The sequence below is a fragment of the Homo sapiens genome, chromosome 1 (assembly GCF_000001405.40).
Source record: "Homo sapiens chromosome 1, GRCh38.p14 Primary Assembly".
Classification (NCBI taxonomy): Eukaryota; Metazoa; Chordata; class Mammalia; order Primates; family Hominidae; genus Homo; species Homo sapiens.
The window spans coordinates 92999629-93009278 of NC_000001.11; the positions used below are offsets into that span (position 1 = coordinate 92999629).

Consider the following 9650-nt stretch of genomic DNA (forward strand, 5'->3'; position numbering starts at 1 on the left):
GATCCTCCTGTCTGGGCCTCCCAAAGTGCTGAGATTACAGGCATAAGCCTGGCCCTTCCTCAACTTTTCGAATTGAGTTCATGTAAAGGAGGGACAGAGGAACTTTGTTAATTTCATCAGCCCTACGGAGTAATACCACTAGTCACAATTATAAAAAGTGAAAACCCCACTTATTTCCACCTCATGTGGCAATATTCCAAAGAATCTTGAAATCGCGCTGATCCATTTCAACTTGACCCAATTCTCTATGCATATGATATGACATTCTCCACTTTCATACCCAGAAGTAAGAGTTTTTCTAGTTTAAAATAATAAAGATAGAGAGATTTACGAATGGTTAGGTTTCTAAGTTCTAGGTAGCAATTTCCTCTTCTAGAAAAATAAGTTCTAGTGGTATTTACCTGTGTTTCTTAAAGGGTTGTACTTTTTTAAATGGGATTAATATATTAAGGGTGTTCATATATAGTACTAATATGAATACATTAGACCTGTGCTTCTTAGGAATTTCACAGAAATTTCACAATCATTAAGGTCACTTTTCTATTTCTCCCTCTTCATTTTCCTTCATTCTCCATCACCTCTCTTGCCCTTAAATGATTATAACTTAGAATTGGATTTTTTGAATTAATTTTGCTTCTGTTAAGTAGAATTTCCTGTTCCCTACTTTTAATTTTTAAAGTTAAAGACTAAATTAAGTTGCCTTTTGCTTCTTAGGCTTTTTACTGTAACTTCTTTGTTGCTCTTGAACTTCGATAGTTAAAGTGTTCAGAAACCAAGCTTTCCCAGAAACCAAGCTTTCCCAAGCTCTTCATGCAGCCTCCCTGCCCCCACCCTCTCAGTGTTGTTTTCCCTTTCTCAAGGGGAAGACTGTCCTAGGAGGGGCTGCGGGGCAGAGACAGACTGCAGGAGGAAGAGGAAAGGGGAGAAGGGATAGCATTCCACTTTGTTTGTATCCACCTCACAACCTGCTGTTGACCTGCCTACATGATTAGTCTCAGGCTGCAGTTTGGCCCAAGACAATATTTGATAAAGAACCTTCTAAGTAGAGAAGAAAGTACTTGATTTAACTTGGAGGCAAATATTCTATTTAAGAAAATAGATGGAATTTATATGCACTTAAAAATGCTGTGACATTTTTGGGAATTGCTGGGCTCAAATAGCTTTCTGGAGTTAGGAAACCAAAAAACCTGCCAGATGACATTTTTGCTCAAGGAAGCGAGGAGGTATAGAAGAGAAGAATTTGGATTCTCAGCTGAATGTCTGGCTTAGCTGTTAAGCCTCTCTGGCTGAGAATGTGCTTTCTCGCTTCTGTTTTTGGTGTAGTGCCAAGAGAACTATCAGACCACAAATAATCATTGTTAACTTCAGTGGAAACCAGAGCTATTAAGAAAAATATTAAAAGCCTGTTCCAGGATTATAACATTTTAGAGAGCAAAGAAATAAGATACCTGACTAACCTGTTTTATTGGGTTGTAAATGGAAAATGTCCTGACCAGCTGGGTTTTAAGCAAGAATGACATTTTTTCCATATGATTTGTCATGGATTTTAAAAAGACGATGTGCTTAGAAAAACAAATTTGCTGTAACTTGGCTAGTGGGCAAAATAACCGGCAGAAAGCTTGATAACTCAAATTCATGATACAGCAGAAATAATTTTGTTATTTGGCCAGGATGGCCCAGTCCTGATATGCTTAAGCTTCAGAGAGTTGCCTATGTTGTCTTTGCAGAAAACAATCCACATTTGTGCAGGATGCAAACTGAATTCCTTTGAACTTCACTGTAAAATCCACATTTCTCAAAATGTATTTTAGAAGATTTTGCTAAACGATTGGCAAAAGCTACAGATACCAAAAAGTTATTTTCATTGGAATTTACAACTAAATATCCTGAGTAACAGATAAGCATGGGTGAAGGTCTTACTAAGACCATAAATAGGTGAGGTGTTGAATGTTAATTAGCTTGATGTAACCATTTCACAATGTATACATATATTGAAGCATTACATGGTACAACATAAATATATATATAACTTTTATTTGTCAACTCCTTAAATTTTTTTTTAAAGGGGAGATGTATGGAGGGGCTTCCTCCAACAGTTGGGGAACAACTTCACACATTTTCCTTCTTCCATTTTTGTTTCCCAATTAGAATATTTAAAATCTTACCCTTGGCTGGGTGTGGTGGCTCATGCTTGTAATCCCAGCATTTTGGGAGGCCAAGGTGGGAGGATTTCTTGAGCCCAGGCGTTCGAGACCAGCCTCAGCAACATAGTGGGACCCCCATCTCTATTATTAAAGATAAATAAATAAAATAAAATTGTAACCCAATGCAGGCCAAGAAGTGACACTTTGAATTGTAAATTTGGTTGACTATGTTTGGTTGAGTTTGACTGAGTTTGGTTGACTTCTGTTTGCCACTTCAGCTCCATTTTCCATTCTTTGTTCCACACTTCCACCTGGAGGTTGGTCTGAACACACCACACTGTAGCTTCCAAGTCCTCTGGCTTCTGGTTGGGGTTGACCAGTGGGGATTTGGGGCACTGGACTGATGAAAGGGAGGAAAATGAGTCAGGAAGAATTTTTACTCCTTGGCTTCTTCCCTGTGAGTCCCTTGACCAAGGATTACAGCTTCTATCCAGGTGACCTTCTCCATGTGACTACCTCCTTCTGGCGTCTGGTGACTGCTCCCTCCCCTCGTCACTGGGGCCGAGGGTTATCCTTTGTGGTTCCCCTATACCCTGCCCACGTCTCTATAAGCAACCCTTTGTAAATAAATCCAATTAGAATGATTCTAAGTTAAGTGTGTCATCTGATTCCTGCTAGTCTTATAATTCTGCAAGTCTTATCACCGTCCTCTAAGGATATTCTAAGATACTCATGGGATAAGAAGCCAGGGACTGACCACACTCTCAATGGAATCTAATACAATGTCCCAGCCCGTTGCTGAACCCCATCTGCCAGTGCTTATTGTGCAGTGCCCAATCTCAGAGCCTTGCCCTCACCCCTGCTCCACCAGCCTGCCAATCACCATGTCCCCCACCTCCCTCTATTCCCATTCCCACCTCTGTGACCCAAAGCACCATGGTCTCCCAATATCTACTTCAGAAGCCTGCCCACTCGCCCTCTGTGCCCCCTCTTAAAAACATCCCATATTACAAAGTGCTCTTTCTATACTGTGAATCTCGTCTTGTCATGTAGACATTGCTTAATAAATAAATGTTAAGTGAGGGAACAAGTGATGTTCCTTTTAGGCTTAAAATCTCTCCATGGCTTCCTACTGCACTTAGGCTAAAGCCCAATAGTGTGACCAGGCTTGTAAGGCTTGCAAGACCCTGGAAGATCCACCTCCTGCTGCCTCATCTCACACAACTTCCCCTCTTGCTCTCTGCTCCACGCACACTGGCCTCCTTTTAGTTCCTGGAGTGAGCTGGGCTTTCTCTGGCCTCAAAGCTTCTCACCAGTATCCCTTGTGCTAGAAATTTTCTACTCATCTCCTTTTCACTCATCCTTTAGGTCCCAGCTTAAATGTCATTTGCTCAGAGAAACCTTAGCTAACTCCCCTCCCATCCCCCAGACAAGACCAAGTTGCCCTATTCATCCCTTTTGCAACATATATCCCAATCACGATTAACTATGTGAATTGTCACTTAACGTCTGACAAGTCTAATATGTCTCTCTACTGCTTGCCTGGATGGCTGAAATACCTTCCTAACCAGTTTCCAGGTTTCCACTCTTGCTACCTCCCCGTGTTCGGTTTTCCACATGGCTGCCAGAATGAGCTTTTAAAAACATAAATAAGCCGGGTCTGGTGGCTCATGCCTGTAATCCCAGCATTTTGGGAGGCTGAGGCAGGAGGATCGCTTGAGGCTGGGAGCTCGACACCAGCGTGGGCAACATAGCAAAACCCCATCCCTACAAAATAAATATCTAAAAAATTAGCCAGGCATGGTGGCAGGCACCTGTAGTCCCAGCTACTCAGGAGGCTGAGGCAGGAGGATCGCTTGAGCCCAAGAGTTTGAGATTGCAATGAGCTATGATTGTGACACTGCACTCCAGCCTGGCTCACAGAGTGAGACCCTGTCTCTAATAAATAAATAAATAAATAAATAAATACGTACAATTTTAGTTTTTTTTTTTTGTGATGGAGTCTCGCTCTGTCACCCAGCCTGGAGTGCAGTGGGGTGATCTCAGCTCACTGCAACCTCCATCTCCCGGGTTCAAGCGATTCTCCTGCCTGAGCCTCCTGAGTAGCTGGGACTACAGGTTCATGCTACCATGCCCAGCTAATTTTTATATTTTGAGTAGAGACAGGGTTTCACCTCGTTGGCCATGATGGTCTTGATCTCTTGACCTCGTGATCCACTCATCTTGGCCTCCTAAAGTGCTGGGATTACAGGCGTGAGCCACCATGCCCAGCCCTAAATTTAAAAAATAAAAATAAAAACAGAAATGGATCATGTCACCTCCTGGCTCAAGACCCTCTGAGAGCTTTCCATACACAGAGTAAAACCCCAGCCCTGCGCCCTGGCCTGCTGCACCTGCTGCGCCTGCTGATCTGCTGCTTGACTCCCTCTCAGTCCTCATCCCAGAGTGCTAGACCTCACACATTCTGGCTTCTTCTGTTCCTCCAACTTCTGCCCCTCACCGTCATACCTACCATCTTCCTCCTATTTCTCTTTTAAAGTTTTGTCTCTGAAATTTCTAATGTGGTGAATAGTTTATGATGTGCTCATGGATACCATGTGCATTTACTTTTCCAATGCCCTATGTCCTATTCTCTTGTTAACTGCACTCCCCTTCTTTAGCTGATCCTCTCCTATGCCAATTCATTTTTTTAAAATCGAGGTATAATTTACACATAAAAGCTGTACATAGTTAATATATACACCTTGAAGAGTCTGAAGATAAGTATACAACTGTTTAAGAGTCACTATAGACAATGCCATAAACATCACCATCACCCCTAAGATTCCTCCTCACTCTCTCTTTTTGCACCCTTTGGCTGACACCTCCGCATTTATATTTCCCCTTTACCCAGCTCCTGGGAAGCACCATTCTGCTCTATGCTTCTGTGAGTTTGACTGTTTTGGATTCCTGACGTAAGTGAGTCTCACTCCAATCTTCATACTGCCTCCCACTCCCCCAGTGGGCATGTGACCCAAGCCTGATCAGTCTAGGCTCCCATTCCCCGGTGCTTTTCTTCTCTTCCATCAGAGAAGACATTGAAACCCTCGTACTTTATTATGCATATTCTTAGAGACTGTCACCCTGAGAGAAAGTAGACAAACCCTTAAATTAAGCAATACATAAGTAAGGTGTTCCTAAATGCTTCAAATTAATGTATTTATTCAACATTTATTGAGCACTTTCACGCTACCTACCTATTGTTCTCAGAACTGGGGAAGCTTATGGCAATGAACAAAGCAGACAAAAATCCCTACCCTGAACACTTCTACAGCTGTCAATATCAGCCATGTGATTACTAAAATTCTGAGTGCTGAAAGGGGGTGCAGAGCACTTACTGTATCCATCAAAGACTTTGTGATCAAACAAGTTTTACCACAGATTTTGCAGATTCTGAGACTAATCTACTCAACAAAGCATATTAAAAATGCAAGCTATTAATAGAAAGAGACATTAAAATTCTATTTTTTCAAAGAGCTCAATCACTCTGCTGGTTAGAGATAATATGTAATCAGTTCTGAATCTAAAATGACTCTGGAAAGTCAAGAGAAGCCACAAGGTCATGCTCACATCTTTCCTCTCCAGAGAGTTTCAGAACATCAGCACTGTATTAAAAATAAAATGGTTTAAAAAAAAGGAGAGAGAAATAGAGAGAAATTCTAGAACTAGGAACTGAAAGTGCAAGAATATGAGTTTGGTATTGCAGAGAAAAAAAGGTTAAGCTTTTCGATCAGTTTAATACAGTAAAAGCCTTCTTAGCAGTGATTTATTTCTATTTTTGTGATTGATTTTATTTTTATATTATTTTATTTAGTGAGGAATAATTAAGAAAATAAGTAAGCGAATAAAGAAAAAAAATCTGTTATATTCCTACCACTCAAAATTAACTGCTGTTAATATTTTGGCATATTTGCTTCCAAGTCCTTTTTGATGTTCCTACTATTTTTAAAAACATTGCTATTTTTAAAAACATTTGATGTTCCTACTATTTTTAAAAACATTCTGTCTCACTGTCTCTCTCCATCTTTTTGTCTCTGTCTCTGTCTCTCTCTCTCTCTGCCTATGTATGTACATATTTGTGCACACATATACTTCTTTAAAAAATATTGGAACATTAAGTTAATGCTAAAGTATCTTTTGAATGTTATCCCTCTTGGTTCCCAGAAGTAATCATTATTTTAATTTTTTTTTTTTTTTTGATACAGGGTCTCACTCTCTTACCCAGGCTGGAGTGTAGAGGCACAATCATGGCTCATTGCAGCCTCCACCTCCTGAGCTCAAGTGATCCTCCTGCCTCAGCCTCCCAAGTAGCTGGGACTACAGATGTGCACCATCATGCCCAGTGAATTTATTTATTTATTTATTGAGACTGAGTCTTACTCTGGCGCTCAGGCTGGAGTGCAGTGGCACAATCTCGGCTCACTGCAACCTCCACCTCCCAGGTTCAAGCGATTCTCTGCCTCAGCCTCCCAAGTAGATGGGACTACAGGCGTGTGCCACCACGCCTGGCTAATTTTTGTATTTTCAGTAGAGACAGGGTTTTACCATGTCGGCCAAGCTGGTCTCAGGCTCCTGACCTCAAGTGATCCACCTACCTTGACTTCCAAAGTGCTGGGATTATAGGCGTGAGACACCACACCCAGCCCCCAGTGAATTTATTATTTTAAACTCGATAAGTATCATTCTATTCCTTTTGCTATATTTTTATATACATATGCAAATAAAAGGGATCTTTTGCTACTTGCCTAATGCCAATCTGGGATCACGGTGGGGTGGTTGTAGGATCTGCATGCCCAGATGGACATCTGAATTATAGTTTAGGCTAAGCTGAGAGCCTCACCAAAAAGTACATGCATACAACCATTTTTCTGGAAGCAAATTGTTCCTATCCCATAAGATAAAATTAAATGCATTATTATGTCACAAAGAGCATCACGATTTCCCAGTATTTTATCCTGAATAAGTATGAAGACCACTGCTCTTCCAGAGGGGTTGAGAAAAATATTAAGTGAGAAACCCATAGATATTAGGTAATGATCAATGTGTTAAAAATGGAATCAGGCCGGGTGCGGTGGCTCACACCTGTAATCCCAGCACTTTGGGAGGCCGAGGTGGGTGGATCACGAGGTCAGGAGTTCGAGACCAGCCTGACCAACATGGTGAAACCCTGTCTCTACTAAAAATACAAAAATTAGCCAGGCATGGTGGCGCGTGCCTGTAATACCAGCTACTCAGGAGGCTGAGGCAGGAGAATCACTTGGACCCGGGAGGCAGAGGTTGCAGTGAGAAGAGATCGTACCATTGCACTCCAGTCGGGGTGACAGAGCGAGACTCTGTCACAAAAAAACAAAAACAAAAACAAAAAAAAGGAATCAAATACGAGAATAGAGGTGAGGGTGCCTAAGTGGGTAAGGGAGGTCTCCAAAGAGGTGACCTTCAATGTGAATACAATAAACACTGTGAATACAGTGCGGAAGCAAGCCAGAAAATGTCAGGAGAGCAGAGCAAATCGGTGCAATGTGATCTTTGACATGAAATGCCGCACTAGGGCCCTGTGGTTCACATTACAACCTAATCTCTTGAGGAAGAAATGCTAATGGTCAGGAATTGGTACATTTCCTTCACCAGCTACCTGAGTAGCAGAAGGCAAGAGGCCTCAGTCAGTATGTGGTTTGTTAGATTATCAGAAGCTATAACCAGAGGTTACTTGGGGGACTATGCAGGGCTGTTAGGACTTCTGGGTCCCTTAAAAAATTTGCCAGGAGTTTGTTTTTGCTACACTTAAACCTCTCTTGGCCAGGCACGGTGGCTCATGCCTGTAATCCCAGCACTTTGGGAGGTCGAGATGGGCGGATCACCTGAGGTCAGGAGTTCGACACCAGCCTGGCCAACATGGTGAAACCCCATCTCTACTAAAAATACAAAAATTAGCTGGGTGTGGTGGCACATGCTTGCAGTCACAGCTACTCAGGAGTCTGAGGAAGGAGACACTTGAACCCGGGAGATGGAGGTTGCAGTGAGCCGAGATTGCACCACTGCACTCCAGCTTGAGTGACAGAGCAAGGCTCCATTTAAAAAAAAAGAAAAAACACCTGTCTCTCAACCATTTGCCCCTCTGGGCCCCCAGGGCACTCACACTGCCCAAGGTCATGCCAACCCACCCAGGCATTTCTGGTGGACACCTGTTGTGTGCCAGCCCAGAACTCCTCCCTTCTTTGGGTAATGGAACCCCTTTTCTTCTGACTCATGTTCTTCTCCCCATTACAAACATGTGGTTCAAAAGGAGCTGCCACGTTATTACAAATCCTGCCCTTTGGTCACATTCATGAGTCTTTGGGTGGGAACATGACTAAAACTGGGCCAATCAGAATACTTCGTGCACTGACCACAGAGCCTTCCACAGCCTGGTCAAAGCTAGGTCAAACCATAAGCCAAGTTAAGCAGCACCCATCCCCAGGATTTTTTCACTTGGAGCTTAAGGAAAGAAATTCAGTCTCTGTCTAGGAACAACGTTGTGAGCACCGAGGCAGGGGAACTGTTGACAGTCCTGTTCCTTGCTATGAAGGAAGCTGTGCGGAGAGAATGAAGCCTCATGCTGAGAGAAGCTGAGAGATAAGGAAGAGAGTTAGTGGTATTGGAGCTCCTGCTTCCAGATATCCTGGAATTCCAACTATATCCCCTCTGCAATTATGAAAGGCTGCCAAAAAACTTCCCCCTTTGCCTAATCTAATTGTGCTCAATTTCTTTCATGATAATACGAATCCTAATATAAATGTCTTTCTCCACATTGCCCTAAATTCTAAAATTGCCCTCCCGCTCCCCTGCTTCCTAAATAAAATTCTTCCTCAAGTTCATAGGCCAAAGTAATCTGATTGGCTACTTGAAACAATTCACCCTGAGGTATGGACAATTCAGAAGCTTCCTTGTGTTGTTAATGGGGTAGACTACACACCGGTGGGGGCAGGGGTATATGGGAAACCTCTGTAATGTCTAAATTTTGCTGTGAATTTAAAACTGCTGCTTAAAAAAATCTTAAAATCTTCCCTGGAGCCTTGGCCTTAAGATTGAACCACTTTATGACCAAGCAATTCTACTTCTGGGTATATAACCAAGAGAATTGAAAAAGCGTATATCCACACCAAAATTTGTACATAAGTGCTCGCTTTAGCAGCACATATACTATGAGGTTGGTGCAAAAGTAATTGCGGCTTCAGACCATGCATGTTAAATCATTATAACTCAGCTCAAACACATCTTTATTCATCAAAATAAGAACCATTACAATCAACATATTTTTGTCAACGAGAAATATGTTTGTTTATTCCTGTAGCATAAAAATCCGTGCTTCAGGATTCGACGAACTCTTGGAAAGCATTTTCTGCATCCTGCTGATTATGGAAGCATTTTCCCTGAAAAAAGTTGTTGAGATGCTTGAAGAAGTGGCAGTCAGTTGGCAAGATATCAGGT

At 42.1% G+C, this 9650-nt stretch overlaps 2 annotated features.

Annotated features, from left to right (window-relative positions):
- Positions 724–1018: an enhancer, noted in NCBI's record as "tiled region #610; K562 Activating non-DNase unmatched - State 7:EnhWF". NCBI's record gives its function as "activates a minimal TATA promoter and a strong SV40 promoter by Sharpr-MPRA in K562 cells {active_cell/tissue: K562}" and the evidence as "EXISTENCE:reporter gene assay evidence [ECO:0000049][PMID:27701403]".
- Positions 8624–8918: a silencer, noted in NCBI's record as "tiled region #5366; K562 Repressive DNase matched - State 9:DNaseU". NCBI's record gives its function as "represses a minimal TATA promoter and a strong SV40 promoter by Sharpr-MPRA in K562 cells {active_cell/tissue: K562}" and the evidence as "EXISTENCE:reporter gene assay evidence [ECO:0000049][PMID:27701403]".